The sequence below is a fragment of the Homo sapiens genome, chromosome 5 (genome assembly GCF_000001405.40).
Source record: "Homo sapiens chromosome 5, GRCh38.p14 Primary Assembly".
NCBI classification, from domain to species: domain Eukaryota; kingdom Metazoa; phylum Chordata; class Mammalia; order Primates; family Hominidae; genus Homo; species Homo sapiens.
Window position 1 is genome coordinate 40,740,174 of NC_000005.10, and position 19,215 is coordinate 40,759,388.

At 40.4% G+C, this 19,215-nt stretch overlaps 2 protein-coding genes across 3 annotated transcripts in view, besides 1 other annotated feature; one reads left to right on the top strand and one right to left on the bottom strand.

Moving 5' to 3' along the window:
- The window catches only part of PTGER4 (prostaglandin E receptor 4), a 66,886-nt gene extending 60,259 nt beyond the window's left edge, over positions 1–6,627 (top strand). The window contains exon 4 of the mRNA XM_017009659.3: positions 311–6,627. The gene's annotated coding sequence lies outside the window, so the exon portion shown is untranslated. The remainder of the gene's footprint in view (positions 1–310) is intronic.
- Positions 1–15,788, bottom strand: part of TTC33 (tetratricopeptide repeat domain 33) — a 44,386-nt gene extending 28,598 nt beyond the window's left edge. The window contains exons 1-2 of one of the 2 annotated variants that reach the window (NM_012382.3): positions 15,651–15,788; positions 6,625–6,846 (exon numbers count right to left, since the gene is read on the bottom strand). In NM_012382.3, the coding sequence (NP_036514.1) occupies positions 6,625–6,845 (221 nt within the window). In that variant the 5' untranslated portion in view covers position 6,846; positions 15,651–15,788. Of the gene's footprint in view, positions 1–6,624; positions 6,847–15,520 lie in introns of both variants that reach the window. The other variant, XM_011514003.4, reaches the window with a different exon arrangement.
- Positions 15,662–15,811: an enhancer, noted in NCBI's record as "active region_22503". NCBI's record gives its function as "activates an Ori minimal core promoter by ATAC-STARR-seq in GM12878 lymphoblastoid cells {active_cell/tissue: GM12878}" and the evidence as "EXISTENCE:reporter gene assay evidence [ECO:0000049][PMID:35858748]".

Consider the following 19,215-nt stretch of genomic DNA (forward strand, 5'->3'; position numbering starts at 1 on the left):
TTTTAAAGAATTTAAATTTTTTGTTTAAATCAGTCTTCATACTTACCCATGTTTACCACTTCCAGAACCCTTTCATTCTTTACTTAGACACAAATTTCTATCTAGTATGATTTTCCTTCTATGTAAAGAATTTCTTTTAATATTTCTTGAAGTCCAGGCCTACTGGTAATGGGTTATCTCAGCTTTTGTTTGTCCAATAAAGTTATTTTGCCTTCATTTCTGAAAGATATTTTTATAATACAAAGAATTCTAAGTTGGCAGTTTTACTTTCCTTCAAAACTAAATGATGTCATTCCATTATCTTGCATAGACCTCCAGCTGACCTCAGCTTCTACACTCCGAAATCCATGGCCACATATGCAGCAAGGATAAATATCTCATGGCTTTTCTCCACATTAACTGGAAGTAGCAGAAATAAGAAGACCAGCTCATTCCCGAGGGGCATGGGACTCCAATGAGGGACAACTCTGACTTGACGACTATCCAAGGTATTGTCCAACTTTCTTTAGATAATATGACAGCCTAAGACATTTCCATCCAACCTTCCCTCCCTCTCCCCTTCACTGGGGGTTAGACAAGCATAGCTCTCCCAGATTTACTCAGTTCCCACCCCATGTCCTCTCATACAGTGATTCCCCTAATGAAATCTTTGCATGTTTAAGCCGGTCTTAGCATATGCTTCTAGAAGGACCCAGACTAGCATAACTGTTCAGTATATTTTTTATTTCAGATATCGTATTTTTCATTTCTAGATGTTCCTTTTTTTAATATATCTTCCATTTCACTCCTCATTATGTTTGTTTCCCTTTAATTATCTGAATATAGTTGTATTACCATTTTAATCTCTCTGTCCACTACTTCCATCATCTATGTTATTTCTGAATGTTTCTATTGACTGATTTGTCTCCTATTTATGGGTCACAGTTTCCAACTCTTTGGCATGTCCAGTAATTTTTGATTAGATGCTGAATATTTTAAATGTTACACTGTTGACTAAAAATGTTAGGCTCTATTCTGGCAGGCAGTAAAGTTTGAAAGTATCAGTTTGAACCCTTCAAAAACTATTTTTAAAGGTTTTCTAGGGAAGGTCTGAAGTAGCCTTCCCTCTAGGGATAGTGTAGTCATTCTACTAAGAAATAACCCCCTGTGACTCCAGTAAATATTTCTGGTGACCATCAAAGACACTCCATTCTGAATGGCTGAAGCTTGAATAGCTCTCCGCTCTGTATGAACGCTACGAATGGTTCAGCTTACAACTTCTCAGTCATTTTCCCTGGATTTACAGAAATTCCCCAATAGTTGCATGGCCTAATGTTCAACAAAGACTCAAAGGGACCTCATAGACTTCTGGAGCTTTTTCTCTGAGTAGCTTCCTCTTCTCTGGTACTCTACTCTGCAACTTCTAGCTGTGTCAGCCTCTCCAAAGTCCAATCTCCATCTCCTCACGCAGCAAGACCACTGTGGTCTATCTGGTTTCCTCTTCTGTGTGCCCATTCCCTGGAGACTACCTTCAGGTAGAAATTAAGGGAGCTCAGCCACGCACGGTAGCTCACACCTGTAATTCCAGCACTCTGGGTGGCCAAGAACGCCAGATTACCTGACGTCAGGAGTTCAAGACCAGCCTGGCCAATATGGTAAAACCCCATCTCTACTAAAATTACAAAAATTAGCCAGGCGTGGTGGCACACACCTGTAATCCCAGCTACTCAGGAGGCTGAGGCAGGAGAACCGCTTGAGCCTGGGAGACAGAGGTTACAGTGAGCCGAGATCATGCCAATGCACTCCAGCCTGGGCCAACAGAGCGAGACTCTGTCTCAAAAAAAAGAAAAAAAAGAAATTAAGGAAGCTTATAGGGATCATCTTGTTTTTGCCCCTTCTCTCAAAGATAAGAGTCCTATGCTGACTACTGTCCAATGGTTGAAAACAGTTTTTTTTTTATATCTTTTGTCCAATTTTCTAGTTGTTTGGGGCCATCCAGGTCTAGTTCTAGAAACTCTCTCATGGCTGTCAGTAGAAATCCATGCCTACTTTTTAAAGTATTTTTGTATCCGTTATTGGATTTCAGCCTTATAAGAACCCCATGAGGCAATTGCAAGTGAAGAAATATATAGCCAATCAAGGACACAGAATAATTAGGACTACTATAATAGTAATAATAATAATAACTAATATTTATTGAGTATTTACTACATGACAGGCAATATATTAAGTACATTACATACGTAAATTCATGTCACCATCACAACAGCATTGAGGTAGATATTTTCTGCAGAAAAGGAAACTTAAACACAGAGAAGCTGAATAACTTGCCTAATATTGCAAAGCTGGTCAACAGCAGAACTAGGATAAGAAACAAAGCCATCTGGCACTAATGCCAGACCATAATCACTGTATTGTAAAATCTGTTGTTATTTTCCTATTGCATAAACAAAGCCTTCTGTACACAAAACAACAGGGGAATGGGAAGAGTAAGGGTTATGAGAAAAAGAATCCTGCCATCCTTGTGAGATTAAAAAAAGAAGAAAAAGAATAAGACCCAGAATAGAGCAATTATTATCAAGTGCCATATTTTCATTCGGGAGGAGGGTGAGAAAATTTTATTCCCAAAGGTCCTTTGTGGTTTGGGTATGAAATAAAATACATTCTCAGAATACTATATTCTAATTTGGAGTTTTTAAACGTATATTCTATAGATATCATGCAGTAAATGGTAGCTAGCTTATAAAAACGTTTTTAGCCATAATACAGCCAAAAAACATCACAGCTTTATAAATATTTACTGAGGGCCTAGTAAGTGCCACAAATTATTCTAAGAGCTGAAGACACTATACAAGTTAGATAAATTCCTTACTGTCCTGGAGCTTACATTCTTACAAAAGAAAAACAACATATAAACAAAATATTCTAAACACACTAAATAAGTGTATACAGTAACTTCAAAAAGGGAGAAATGCTCAAAAACAAAATGCACTGATGTGATAGAAAAAGGGTGAGTACAGGGATGTTACTTCAGACTGGGTAATCAGAGAGCAGACTGCTGAGAAAATGACAAATGAGCAGAAATCCAAAGGACAGGAAGACAGGCAGCAGAAAACCAGAGAAAAAAGGTTTTCAGACAGAGTCATAGCACAAAGTTGTATAATAACTATGTTCAAAAAAATGAAGAAGGCCCATCTGGCTAAAATGTAGTGAAAATAAGCACAGTTTAAGATGAAGTTGATTTGGTAGGCAGGGACTCAGTATTTTTTTTAATCTAATTTAATTATTCTTCCTTATATTACTTTCAATCAAGTTTAGTAGCCTCTTAAATATTTTTTTGCTGGGCATGGTGGCTCACACCTGCAATCTCAGCACTTTGGGAGGCTGAGGCAGGCAGATCACTTGAGGTCAGGGGTTCAAGACCAGCCTGGCCAACATGGCGAAATCCCATCTCTACTAAGAATACAAAAATTAGCTGGGCATGGTGGCACACACTTGTAATCCCAGCTACCTGGGAGGCTGAGGCAGGGAGGATTGCTTAAACCTAGGAGAAGGAGGTTGCAGTGAGCCAAGATCGCGCCACTGCACTCCAGCCTGGGCAACAGTGCAAGACTCCACCTCAAAAAAATATATATCTTTGTAGTTATTTTCTAAAGCAGTATATACATTACTCAAAAATAAATGCTAAAGAGCAAAAAATGTAATCATGTTATAGTGTTCTCCATCCAAAATAAAGCATCCAATCCCACTGGTTTTAGTGAAATGACTCAATGTTTCGACATACAGGCAGAAAACAAGAGTTATTGTGTTTGTCTACAATGCTGATATCTCTTCTCTGTCACAGGAAATTCAGAGGGAATCCGATGGCAATAACAGAACAGCTTTTCCTTCCACACATTAGTGTGGTTAAAAGTTAATGAACTTTTAACAGGCATTTACAGGAGTTCCTAAAGATGTTTTATGGATGTACTCAAAGTATTCATAAATGAGGAGAATTTACATTTGGTTTTCTTCTAAGACAGACTAGTCAATCTTACAGAGTTCTGTGAGATAAAAATCTTTATGCCTAAAATACCACAAATGAGAATTCACAACCTAACATTAGCTAGTTAAGTTAATTGATCTTGATTGCTATTTATTTTCCACCCTTTATTCCCAATTTGAGATGCTAGTATTTCATAGCTTAAGCACATTTTGTTTTATATTAAGTTATAATAAAAGATTACACCAGAATCAAAAATAAAAACAGACCTAAAAGCTAATATATTGGTTCCTCAACTTTGATTCATGTTTACAAAAATTATTAACAAGAAATCTTATCACCACTCTTACCAGTTTTTTTTTTTTTTTTTTAAGGAACAAAGAAAAAAGTGTGTCTTGCTTAGTATTAATTCATTTTCTTTTAAATTCTCAAACTCTTCAACACCACATGGAAGATACCAGTCAAAGGCACACAGGCCTGATTTTAGATTTCTGGATGATCTGAAGTGTATTCTGTCCCAAACAAAGGCCTATTAGGCTACTATTCCTGCTGGTCATACATATGTCTTCTAAAAATCATGTATTTATTCAAATCAACAATTCTTATACTGTCAAGTGTAATTTTTCTAATATATTTTCTTCACAGAGGACAATGCTTTAAGATTTTTATAAAAATATGGCTCTCAACAGATACCAAACACAGCAAAGAGACAGACATAGGCACAATGTCTTTCTAATGGCTGCACTAACAGAGATGGCAATATAATATTATTTATCTCCCAATATGATGCAGTATAAAGCACAAATGTTACCTACGACATATACTTGCCAAAAATATTTAGACTCAATCTCTACACCTAACTTTCAGTTTACAAGAAACACATGAGATAGAGGAACAAATTAAATGATACACACAAGGAAGCAATCAAATAGAAAATTGGTCTGGACTCTTCCAATAGTCAGTGTCATGGGGGATAAAAGTAGAAAACCCAAGGATGCCAAAAGACACTAAAGAGACATAATAACCAAATATAATCTGTGAACTCCTTAGATCCTGGTTTTAAAAACATGTACTGTAAAAGACATTTGGGGGAAAACAGGCAAAACCTAAACATGAACTAATATTAGATATAAAATTGTTAATTTTTGTAGGTTTGATAAAAGATATGTTAGGTAAGATAATATCCTTATTCTTAGAAAAAACATGAGGAATTAGGAGTAGGTGTCATAATGTCTGAAACTTACTTTCAAATAGATCAGCAAAAACACCCTGTAAATATGCAATTATGTATGCCTGTGTGTGTGTATGTGTATGCATGTGTAGAAAGACAGGGATAAAGCAAATATTAAGAATTGTTGAGTCTAGATAGAGGAAATACGAGATTGTCCTATTCTTTTGTTTTGTTTTGGAGACAGCGTCTCACTCTGTCACCCAAGCTGGAACCCAATAGCAGAGTCACACCTCATCGTAGCCTCAACCACTGGGCTCAAGCAATCTTCCTGCCTCGGCCTCTCAAAGCACAGAAATTACAGACACAAGCCACCACACACAGCCAGAATTTTTTAAAACTGGAACTGGAATCATACTAGATATACGATTTATTTATTTGTTTATTTATTTGACAGGGTCTCACTCTGTAGCCCAGGGTGGAGGGCAGTGGCAAGATCATAGCTCACCGCATCCTCGAACTCCTGGGCTCAAGCGATCCTCCCACCTTGGCCTCCCAAAGTGCTGGGATTACTAGTATAAGCCACTGCACCCAGCCAGTTGTACTATTCTTTAATACAGATTTGAAATTTTTTCAAAATAAAAAAGGCCTTTTCCACCATAGATTAGAGATACCATTCTATATTTTCTTCTATTAATTGCATAGTTTTACCTTTCACAAATTTTTAATCCCTCCAGGGTCCATCTTTGTGCATGGTATTAGATACAGACACAGTTTTATTTTCCTCTAGGTAGTAATCCAGTTTTCTCAACAGAATCTACTAAAAAATTTGTCTTTTCCCCACTGACTAATGAAAAATGATTTTTGGTCCTTCTTAAAAATCTAAGCAGAAAAAGGAGAAAAGGAATAAAAAAGTAAGAAAAAGAGGAAAGGAAAAAAGAAAAAAGAAATGGGTGCATATAGGAACAACTTAGCTAAAGAAGGGCTAAAAATAAATGAAGCTATTATCAACTTCCTGTACAGCAAGTCATATTTACTTAAGTATATAAGAAGTAAATGGCAAAGAATAACTAAATACCTATTTTTTTTTATGTATGTGCCCTCAAAGCTATTCAGGAAATGCCTAATTTACCTGATACATAATGTTATAAGCAGAAAGTTTCCAGTGATAAGACCACCTTTTACTGACCAATCACTTGAATTACATTTTACTTAGCATTTACTCTTCTTTAGGCACAACAAAAATGATGGCAAAGCAGGGACATAATTAGCATCCTGAAAACTATTTTACAAACTTTCATTGCATCCTGAAAACTATTTTACAAACTTTCATTTTTCAGGTGACTTTGAAACACCTTATTTCTTTGATTAATTTAGCACCTAGAATAGATTTTTAAACATGAATTTATCAAATTCATAACTCTTCATCCCATTACGGACAGTGAGCTAGAAAATGTAAGCTCTTCTCCATAAAAAAAAAACTTTAAATACATACCTTTTATTTTCAGCCAAACTGGCTCCTTCATCCTTCAGCTGTTTACTTTTCTCAGCACAGCCTTCAAGAAGAATTTCTTTCCTACGTTTAATGGCATGAAGCCAGTTCCCTTCATCGTTGTCAACTACATCCTTCTCATCAGCAGCTTCAGCTTCAAACTGCTGGGAAGTGACCTTTGAGACCTTCTCACCAATTTTCCTCTTCCACCCAAAGGAAGCCATTCTGGAAAATTACAAAGAAACAGCTTTAAAATTCTAACTTGATCTTTTTTTTTTTTTGAGATGGAGTCTCACTCTCGTTGCCCAGGCTGGAGTACGATGGCACGACCTCGGCTCACCGTAACCTCCGCCTCCCGGGTTAAGTGATTCTCCTGCCTCAGCCTCCCGAATAGCTGGGATTACACTCATGCACCACCCACACCGGCTAATTTTTGTATTTTTACTAGAGACGGGGTTTCTCCATGTTGGTCAGGCTGGTCTCAAACTCCCGACCTCAGGTGATCTGCCCATCTCGGTCTCCCAAAGTGCTGGGATTACAAGCATGAGCCACCACGCCCGGCCCAAAACTTGGTCTTTTATGGAAGTATTCCAACCCATAGGTAAAGAGGAAATAACAGGATTAGACTATCACCATTTTTCAACCCTAATTAGTGGCTGTAGGCAATAATCATCAATGGCCACTAACATCACTAAGAAAGACAACTGGACATCACACACCTCCTGATGGAAGTAGCATGTCACTCATGAAGTAAGTACTCCTACAAAAATTAACCCTGAGTCAGATCAGGCCTCTACCTATAAGAAATACAGGATAAAGTGAAGCATGCTCAATAACACATCAGAGATGCAGATAGCAAAAAACAGAAACTAAAGGAAAATAAAGCTGGTTTCTTCAAGAAATAAACTGCCAGGAAAGAAAGAAGAGAAAGAACAAGGTAACCCCTAAATTAAGAGAGACTTAAGAGACATACTAACCAACATAACATGTGGATCTTGTTTCACTCCTGATTCAAAAAAGCCAATGAGAAGAAAACTTTTTTTTTTCTGAGACAAAGTTTTGCTCTTGTTGCCCAAGCTGTAGTGCAACGGCCCGATCTCGGATCACTGCAACCTCTGCCTCCCAGGTTCAAGCAATTCTCCTGCCTCAGCCTCCCGAGTAGCTGGGATTATAGGCAGGCACCACCACGCCTGGGTAATTTTTTGTATTTTTAGTAGAAACGGGATTTCACCATGTTAGCCAGGCTGGTCTCAAACTCCTGACCTTAGGAGATCCGCCCACCTCGGCCTCCCAAAGTTCTGAGATAACAGGCGTGAGCCATTGCACCCAGCCAGAAGGAAACATTTATGAAATAGGAGGAATGGGAACACCGATTTGATATTTGATGATATTAAGAAATCACTGTTTTGTTTTGTTTTTTTGAGATGGAGTTTTGCTCGTTTCCCCAGCTGGAGTGCAATGGCACGACCTCGGCTCATTGCAACCTCTGCCTCCCAGGTTCAAACAATTCTCCTGCCTCAGCCTCCCGAGCAGCTGGGATTACAGGCATGCGTCACAATGCCCTTCTAATTTTATATTTTTAGTAGAGATGGAGTTTCACTATGTTGGTGAGGGTGGTCTTGAACTCCTGACCTCAGGTGATCCACCCACCTCACCCTCCCAAATTGCTGGGATTACAGGCGTGAGCCACCGCACCTGGCAAATTATGGCTATTTTTTCTTTGGTGTGATAATGGTATTGTAATTATGCTTACAAAAGGAACCCCTAGGTTTTAGAAATATAAACTGAAATATTTCATATAAAATTATAAGACATCTAGGAATTGTTTTAAAGCAATCAGTGGAGGTTGGGAGTGCAATGCAAGAGAAAATATACATGAAATTAGATTGCTTTTAATTGATAACTAATGAAGTTGAATGATGAGTACATAGTGTTCATTGTACTTTTTCCTTTCATATGTGTTAAAATTTTCCATAATAAAAAGGTTTTAAAAGATTCAAACTTGGTAAACGACTTAACTCACAAAATTATTGGGTAAATTTTAAAATAACAGATGCTGGCCGGGCACGGTGGCTCACGTCTGTAATCCTAGCACTTTGGGAGGCCAAGGCCAGTGGATCATTTGAGGTCAGGAGTTTAAGACCAGCCTGGCCAAACCCCATCTCTACTAAAAATACAAAAATTAGCCAGGCGTGGTGGTACATGCCTGTAATCCCAGCTACTCAGGAGACTGAGGCAAGAGAATTGCTTGAACCCGGGAGGCGGAGGTTGCAGTGAGCCTGGGCAACAGAGCAAAACTCCATCTCAAAAAATAAATAAATAACAAATGCTGAACTTTTCAGTAAATCTGCAATGATATACAAATGTAAGAAATAAAGAGAGGATAAATGATAAAACAAAGTTAACAGAAATCCTGAAATAATTCAACAAATATTTATTTAGAGAAGAGATTAACTGAGGGATCCAAAAATTTACTAGTTGTATAGATGGTCTTCAAGATACTAAGAAACACTGGGAACTGTATATAAATTGTACAAAATTCTTTATATCTGTGTACATTTTGGAGAATAGTGTTTAAGCTTTCATTCCATTCTTAAAGGAGTCTATAACCACAAGGAGATTTTGATCAAATGATCAACTAGAGAAACAGAGAAAAAAAGCAATGAACCAAAAAACATAAAGAAAAGAAAAGCAACGAATCAGAGGGCTTTATGAAACTACCAAAGAATGGGCACTGTGGGAGTATGGGAGGGAGAGAAATGAAATACTGCATAAGTTCGAGCAGGTTTCAAGGTCTTCATTACTGATGCACATGGCTGAAGTGATGTATAAGTACAGGCCTATCTCAGAGTTGTTGCACGGTCAGTTCCAGACCACTGCAATAAAGTGAATAATACTAAAAAGTGGGTCACACAAATGCTTTGGTCTCCCTATGCATATAAAAGTTATGTTTACACTATACTATAGTCTAATTAAGTGTTATAGCATCATATCTTTAAAAATGTACATGCCTTGCTAGGTGCAGTGGCTCACGCCTGTAATCCCAGCACTCTGGGAGGCTGAGGTGGGCAGATCACGAGGTCAGGAGTTTGAGACCAGCCTGACCAACATGGTGAAACCCCGTCTCTACTAAAAATACAAAAATTATCCGGGCGTGGTGGCATGTGCCTGTAATCCCAGCTATTCAGGAGGCTAAGGCAGGAGAATCGCTTGAACTCGGGAGGCAGAGGTTGCAGTGAGCTGAGATTGCACCACTGCATTCCAGCCTGAGCAACAGAGCGAAACTCCATCTCAAAAAAAAAAAAAAAAGTACATGCCTTAATTTAAAAATATTTTATTGCTAAGAAACGCCAATGATCATCTGAACCTTCAGCAAGTCCTAATCTTTTTACTGATGGAGAGTTTTTCCTCAATGTTGATGGCTGTTGACTGATCAGGGTGGTGGTTACTGAAGGCTGGTGGCTGTGACAATTTTTTAAAATAAGACAACAGCGGTCAGGCATGTTGGCTCACGCCTGTAATCCTAGCACTTTGTGAGGCTAAGGCAGGTAGAGGGCTTGAGCCCAGGAGTTTGAGACCAGCGAAATCTCATCTCTACAAAAAATTTTTAAAAACTATCCAGGCGTGGTGGTACACATCTGTAGTCCCACCTACTCAGGAGACAGAGGCAGGAGGATCACCTGAGCCCAGGAGGTTAAGGCTGCAGTGAGCCATGACCATGCCACCGAACTCCACCCTGGCACCCTGGGTGACAGGATAAGACTTTGTCTCCAAAAAAAAAACAACAACAATGAAGTTTGCTGCATCGACTGATTCTCCCTTTCACAAAAAATTTTTCTGTAGCATGCAGTCCTATTTGGTAGCATTTTACCCACAGCAGAACTTCTTTCAAAATTAGAGTCGATACTGTCAAACTCTGCCACTGCTTTATCAACTAAGTTTATATAATGTACTCTAAGTCCTTTGTTGTCATTTCAACCATGTTAACAGCATCTTCACCAGGCGTAGATTCCATCTCAAGAAACCACTTTCTTTGTTCATCCCTAAGAAGCAACTCCTCATCCTTTCAAATTTTATCATGAGATTGCAGGAATTCAGTCACATCTTCAGGCTCCACTTCTAATTTGAGTTATCTTACTATTTCCACCACATCTGCAGTTATTTCCTCCACTGAAGTCTTGAACCCCTCAAAGTTATCCATGAAGGTTGTAATCAACTTCTTCCAAATTCCTGTTAATGTTGATATTTTGACCACCTCCCATGAATCACAAATATTCCTAATGGTTATCTAGAATTAGAATCCTTTCCAGAAAGTTTTCAATTGACTTTGTCCAAATGAATCAGAAGAATCACTATCTATGGCAGCTATAGCCTTACAAAATGTATTTCTTCAATAGTAAGACTTGAAAGTGAAAATTGCTCCTTGATCCATGGGCTGAGGAAAAGATGCTGTTGTTAATAGGCATGAAAACAACATTAATCTTGTACATCTCCATCAGAACTCTTGGATGACAGGGTGCACTGTCAATGAGCAGTAAAATTTTGAAAGGAATCTTTTCTTCATGAGCAGGTCTCAATAGTGGGCTTAAAATATTCAGTAAACCATGCTGTAAACAGATGTGCCATCATCCAGGCTTTGTTGTTCCATTTATAGAACACAGGCAAAGTACATTTAGCATAATTCTCAAGGGCAACAGGATTTTGAGAACGGTAAATAGACATTGGCTTCAATTTAAAGTTCCCAGCTACATTAGCCCTCACAAAGGAGTGAGCCTGTCTTCTGATGCTTTAAAGCCAAGCATTGACTTCTCTGCAGCTATGAAAGTCCTGGAGAGTATCTTCTTCCAATAGAAACCTGTGTCATCCACATTGAAAATCTTATGGCCATGCGCAGTGGCTCACACCTGTAATCTCAGCACTTTGGGGGGCCAAGGCGGAAGGATCACAAGGTCAAGAGATAGAGACCATCCTGGCCAACATGGTGAAGCCCTGTCTCTACTAAAAATACAAAAATTAGCTGGGCGTGGTGGCGCACGCCTGTAGTCCCAGCTGCTCGGGAGGCTGAGGCAGGAGAATCGCTTGAACCCAGGAGGCGGAGGTTGCAGTGAGCCAAGATCATGCCATTGCACTCCAGCCTGGGCAACAGAGTGAAACTCCGTCTCAAAAGAAAAAAAAAAAAAAAAAGAAAATCTCATTTAGTGTAGCCAACTTCATCAATTATCTTAGCTAGATCTTTTCTGGATAACATCAGCATTTGCTGCTTTACTTTGCACTTTCATGTTATGAAAATGGCTTCTTAAACCTCACAAACGAACCTCTAGCAGTTTCAAACTTTACTTTGGCAGCTTCTTCACCTCTCTCAGCATTCACAGAATTGAAGAGAGTTAGAAACTTGCTCTAAATGAGGCTCCTGCTTAAGGGAATATTGTGGCTGGTTTGATCTATCTAGACCATTCAAAGCTTCTCCATATTAGCAATAAAGCGGTTTTTGCTTTCTTATCATTTGTGTGTTTACTGAAGTAGCACTTTCAATTTCATTGAAGAACTTTTCCTTTGCATTCACCACTTGGCTGTTTGGTGCAAGAGGCCTAGCTTTCAGCCTGTATTGGCTTTCAACAGGTCTTCCTAAAATCATTTCTAGCTTTTGATTTAAAATGAGAGATGTGTAACTCTTCCTTTCACTTGGACACTTAGAGGGCATTGTAGGATTAACTGGCCTAATTTCAATATTGCTGTGTCTCAGGAAATAGGGAGACCCAAGGAGAAGAAGAGAGATGGGAATAGCCAGTTGGTGGTACAGCATTCAAAACACACATTTATTGATTAAGTTCACCATCTCATATGGGCATGGTTCATGGCAACCCAAAATGATTACAATTGTTAACACCAAAGATCATCGATTACAGATCACCATAACAGATATAGTAATAATTAAAACATCTGAAATATTTCAAGAATTACCAAAATGTAGCACAGAGACACTAAGTGCACACATGCTATTGGACAAATAGCACGAAAAGACTTGCTGGACACAGGGTTACTGAGCACTTGCAATGTGCAAAAACGCAGTATCTATGAAGTGTGATAAAGTGAAGCACAATAAAATGATCCCTGTAATCACTAGAAGGAAGGTGAGAAAAAAAGTGAGGGTGGCTATGAGGTCATTCACATGGAAAGACCTACCGTAATGGCAGAATTTGGAGGGGTAAGAAAATTGTGAGTCGTATGTCTGAGTTCTTAATGAATATGAGAGAGTGCCAATAAATCACAGCAATCAAGAAATATACAGGCTGGGCGCGGTGGCTCACACCTGTAATCCCAGCACTTTGGGAGGCAGAGGCAGGCGGATCACCTGAGGTCAGGAGTTCAAGACAAGCCTGGCCAACATGGTGAAACCCCGTCTCTACAAAAATACAAAAAGTACCTGGGCATGGTGGCACATGCCTGTAATCCCAGCTACTTGGGAGGCTAAGGCAGGAGAATCGCTTGAACTTAGGAGGTAGAAGTTGCAGTGAGCCGAGATTGCACCATTGCACTCCAGCCTGAGCGACACGAGCAAAACTCCATCTCAAAAAAAAAAAGAAAGAAAGAAAGAAAGAAAGAAATATACAGGCTGATAATATAAGTGAACCACAAACTTTCCACAGGAACTGAGATTTTTTTTAAAACCTGGAGGACTAATGGATTATAAACTGTGCTGGGGAATAAGGACAATGCAAACTCTCTCCCCAGGCCGATCATATTATAGGAGAATGAGTTTCCCATGTTTGAAGATGACTATGAGTATTGTAGGGGAAGATGGCTGAAAACAGAAGTGTGGATACTATGGAACAGAAGTTAAAAGGCACACAGTGAGGACAACCTGAGAAAATACAGATCATTAGGAAAGACTCACAAGATATCAGTGTAAGACAAGATAAAAAGAAGTCTTGTATTTATGATTATCCCTAATGGTAACAAGAATGATGACCACGTTTTCCGGTTTCAAGATTCCAAATGAAACTTTCTTTATTCATAAGGTGAGGCACCAGGCACTGTGGGAACCCTACTCATACTAAAGGACACCTAGTGTGTTTACTGGAGGTAAACTACAATAAAAATCATTGATCAAAAGAAAAAAAAGTAAAAAAAAAAACCGTTGATCAGATCTGTAGATTACATGAGGGGCTGTGATAGGGTGGGAAGGAAAGGAAAAAGTGAGAAACAGACCCACACATCTTTTAAAATTAATAGGTCATTCAGATTCCAATTACCCTCCCCATCTTCCAACCCAAACCACTGTTATAAATGCTGGGGACAAGTATAAGTTATGGCCCAAGGTGGTGGCTCTCAACCATATGTGAAAAAACCACGCCACTATTGCCTCAGGTGTTTGAGCCATTCTCCTCCACAGATCCCTTGAGACCTAGAGATCAGGGGCTGCAGAGGTCAGGACAGACTGAGGTTATGAGGGTGTGGGAGGCCTGATGCCACTAGCAATCGACAAGTTTAACCTGAAAGAGGGAGACAAAAATACAGTCCTCTCAGACAAAAAAAGGAGTTAATATTGAGTGAAACATACAGGCAAGTTCAGGGATGGAGGGAAAGGAAAATGAGGAATTTCATGCCCCAAGCTTCACATTTCTCCAGCAAACAGCGGCTAGTCATCTGCTCAAAGTAAAAGGAAAATAACAGATCTGAGTTCTTGAGAAAAAGGGAAAAGACTAAAATAGTCACTGTGGAGATAAGGAAAAGCAACAAAGGAAAAATAGAGATACCAAACAGTAGTATCAAGGGCCCACTACTGTGTAAAAGCATGAATCTGTTATCAAGGCCATTAGCAAAGTTTTATATTTTCTTCAAAAGTGTCTGGAAACCACAGAGTACAGTCAATTTCATACACGATATGTGCTACAAGAGAGTAAACAAAGGATGCCATGACATCAGAGAAGAGACACTTGAGGCTTTCTGGAGGACTTAAGCTTTGAAGAAAACTTAGCCAGGCTTAAAAAGGTATGTGAATCCTAGAGCATGCAAAGCACTTTCTGCATTAGAAAATTTAACATTCCCAGTTGTTTCAGATATCTTAAGCCGAACGAGTTTATTGTTCCTCTATGACTATCTGAACATGAAATTAAAACTTCTTATGAAGGAGGCTTTCCTGAGTCTAGTTAGAAGCACGAGGCTTCAACATCCTAGACTTAACATTTTTTTACCAGAGTAAGAAACCATGAGAGTAAACCACAATCCACACCGGTTTCATGTTAAACTCATGAAACCAGACAAATTCAACCTTTTATATAGGATTATATTTCAGGAATGGCATAACGATTCTAAACAACGACGCTGTATTCTAAATTCCTGTACTGTTACAAAGATCCCTATAGTAGGCGCTCAACAACTGGCGACGGCTTCACATTTACCCAGCCGCCAGAGAGGGCTTGTCTTGAGTGTGTCTGAGGATGCAGCACCCAAAGGGAAAAACCACTACATGAACAAGATCAGGAAATCACAACAGCATCCTTCTGGGTAAAAGGAGGTATTCAGAGGTGAGGAATCCAAGAAACGATTTACCCAAAAACGCCACCGCAAGAGAAAAACCAGTATTAGTGACTTTCCCTTCATCGGTCAACAATAATAAAAACGCTCAGAAAGGCTGCCCCGGACGTCACCTGCGCGTTCACGGACCGCCCCGGGCCGCAGACACCTCTCCAGCGGGGAGCGGCCGGCTCGTCCCGCCCGTCCCACCGCTCAGGGAAGGTTGCGGCCGCGCAGCTCCGCGAAGGTGCCACGGCGGGCCCGACCCTCAGACTCGCTTGTCCCTGGAGACCAACCCTAGCGACCAGGCTCTGCCGGATCCCGTCGGGTTTCAACTCCTATTCCGAAGGTCCTTTCTCCCCTAATCACAACACCCACTCGCCTCTTTTTCCTCCTCTTCCTCAGCTTCCACCGCCGACCGGGCAGCCCCAGTTACCCGATAACGGCTCCCAAGGCCCCGTGTTTACATTCTTTCCCACTGGAAGCAGAAATTATCACGCCCAAATTCCTACCTGCCTTCCCTGGATTCCTGGTTTCCTAAGAAACGGGTTTGGCCCACCCCTGGGCGTTCGAACAGTCCACAGAAGCGGGCAAAGGAAAGACGACTCAGTCTTTCCCCTCCGCCAATCTCTTCTCCGGGACCACAAATCCCAGAAGTCACCGCGGCCGCCCCCACTGCATGACCTTCTGGGATTTGTAGTAGTCAGGGCCACGCGGCTGGGCGCGCCCTCTAGCAGCAGCCCTGAGTGACCGCAGCGCACGAGCGCGGGAAAATGAGGCTGCGCGGGCTGAAGAGCGCACCGAGAGGAGCCGCCCCCGCGGTACCGCGCAGCCTCGCGTCCCGTCAGTGGGGAACAAGGTGAGGGGAAAACTTATTTTACGGGATTCAAAGGATTAGGATATGCTCCTTCCCCGAAGGGGTTTATAGCCTAGCTGATGAGGTCGGCCAGACGCAGAGAACAGAGAGGCAAAATTCGGTTATAAAGGGCTCGAGGCGGCCGGGCGGGGAGGCTAGTCAGGGAGGCTCGAGGCTGAACTGCAGGCTTCACGTTAAAGTTACAAGTGAGTTGGACCCAGAAGGCAGAATTACAGCCAGAACGTAGCTGTGCATCATGTCTTGAAAATAAACGAGCACATGTAATAAAGGTAATCAAGATTGTTAATTTCTCCAACTCTCCTGCCCAAAAGACTCATTTTTGGAAGTCATACTTTCTCAGCCTCAGCACCATTAACATTTCAAACTGGATAATGCTTTGTTGGGGGACGGGGTGTTCTGTGCATTGTAGGGTGCTTAGCAGCATCTCTGGTCTCTGTCCACGGGATGTCACCACCAGTCGATTGTGACAGCCAATGGTTTCCCCAGTGAAATTTCCCCTGGAAGAAAAACTATCCCTCCCACCCTGCCCCGTTGAGAACCACTGATGTCGACCAACGATTGTCCTGAGGGTCAATGACACCCTTTCAAAGCCAAAATTATTTTCATACTAATATGAAGACGTGATTTGCCCTTTGCACAATGCTGACATTTGCACTGATGGTGGAAAAGCAATGGTAGGTCAAGGTGCTGGCCCCTCCACAGGAATTACAGTAATGACACCAAACCGTACTGGAGCTCTTCACCACCACACGCTCACAGTAAGAAAAATGGGCCGGGCGCGGTGGTTCACGCCTGTAATCTTAGCACTTTGGGAGGTCAGGAGTTCGAGACCAGCCTGGCCAACATGGCGAAACCCCATCTCTACCAAAAATACAAAAATTAGCCAGGCCTGGCGGCACGCACCTGAATCCCAACTACTCGGGAGGCTGGGGTGGGAGGATCCCTTGAGCCTGGGAGGTCGAGGCTGCAGTGAGCCGAGGTCATGCCACTGCATTCCAGCCTGGATGACAGAGCAAGGCACGGTCTCAAAAAAAAAAAAAAAAATGGAAAAATGAACGCTGTCACCAGAGAATATCCCTGATGAAGTTGTAAAAGTTACTTTATTATAACCACTCCGACACTTAATATTCTTTGTAAAAACTTGGAAGTCCTCACAAAGTACTTCTGCTGCATATTGAAGTATGACGTATCAAAGAAGAGCTACTGTGAGATGGCATTATAAACTGAAGTAAATACTTTTTTTTCCTGGAACACAAATTTTACTAAGATGAGTGACAAACCGGTTATTCGGACTTGGGTATTTGACAAACCTTTCTTGAAAATGAACAAAGGGAATCTGTAACTTCAAGAAAAACAAGGAAAGGGAAAGGGGAAGGGGAAAGGAAAGGAAAAAAGAGAAATAGGGAGGGAGGGAGGAAAGAAAAAAAAATTGAGTTTGTTGCCAATGATAAAATTCAAGATTTTAGGCAAAAAAAAAATATGATTTTGGAAAAATGGTATTCACCATAATGATCTTGGCAGCTTCCCAGTATCTCCAGAATTTTCTGATATAAGTGATTATCAGTTGTGACTTTTATTTACATTGTTTGCTTAAATACATCAATATTTGTGCAGGCTGCATAAGTGAACCAGTAGTATTTGAAAACGATCAATGCATGACTGCGGTAGCCAGCCTCCAAGATGGCATTCACTCCTGGCATTCACATCCTTATGCACTGCCTTCCTATATTGTACCACGGTTGGTCTGTGTTACCTACAGAAGAGGGCAGAAGTGACCGTTTATCACTTCCGATATTAATTATGAAAGACACTAAGATGGTGGCAATGTTTCTTAATCTGCCTAGAGGTTTACATGGTCATGTTTCCTGTGTACCTGAAATACTGAAAACTCATTAAGCCAAATACTCATTTGTGCACTTTTCTGTATATATGTCTATGAAAGTCTTAAATAAGAAAACATGTACCTCCCTAACAAGACATGCAGAGGGAAGATTTATCTTATGGTCACATTCATAGTGTCATTAGTTCATAGTAGCCAATAAGAAGGAATAGAGGTTGCAGAGTGAGTAAATGGTACTTGAAGCTGTGCCCCCTACCTAGGGGTCTTTGCTAAATCTCTCAAGTAACCTAACCCTGATCTCCTCTACTGTGTTTAAGGGTAGCTCCCACTAAGTTTTTATACTTCACCCACTACTTCTCTACTAACTCTGACTGGTCTATGATCTTGATTCACCTAATATATTTAATATATGTCTTATGCTGTCTTTTTAAGACAACATGATCATTTTCCAAAATCCTTTAAATTTATCATAATTTATTGGCATTTACAGTAAATAGTTTATTTACAATAAATAAAAGAGTTCAAAAATTCTGATTTTTCAAACAAGAATTTCTTGGACAATTCTTGTACAGCCAAGGTAAATACCTACAGCAATTTATACATTCCCTAAAAAAACCTTATATACTACTCATAGCACTCTTTAGCAGTTTTCTTTTGTTGTTTTAAAGATAACAGAGTGTCAACAATCTAGCACAAGCCCCTGCCTAATCATGTCATATGGATACAATATTTAATATTAATTGAATTCTAACAGTAGTAGGATTCTAACCAAATCAAGTGTTAGCAACTGATAAATGGCAGTTGCTTTGGCTTTTATTGTATCTATCATGTTTTATTCAAGTGGTTGGTTTTTAGATGAAATCAAGACTCATGTAGTCGAGATAAAAATCACAATGTTTGACAATTTAAATGTGGCCAGGCACTATATTTTATATTTCTAGGTACTTTTTTTGTTGTTGTTTTGGTGGGGTTTTTTTTGAGACAGAGTCTCACTCTTTTGCCCAGACTGGTAGTTCAGTGGCATGTTCTCGGCTCATTGCAACCTCCACCTCCCAGGCTCAAGCGATTCTCGTGCCTCAGCATCCCGAGTAGGTGGGACTACAGGTGCCCGCCACCACGCCCAGCTAATTTTTGTGTTTTTAGTAGAGACGGGGTTTCACCATGTTGGCAGGCTGGTCTTGAACTCCTGACCTCAGGTGATCCACCCACCTCAGCCTCCCACAGGGCTAGGATTACAGGTGTGAGCCACCGCACCTAGCCGGTACATTGTTAGAAAGAAAGGTGCACAGATACTTAGTTTTTTTTTTTTCCACTGAGTTTTCCCAGAGGTTAAAAAACATAAGTACATTGTAACAGATGA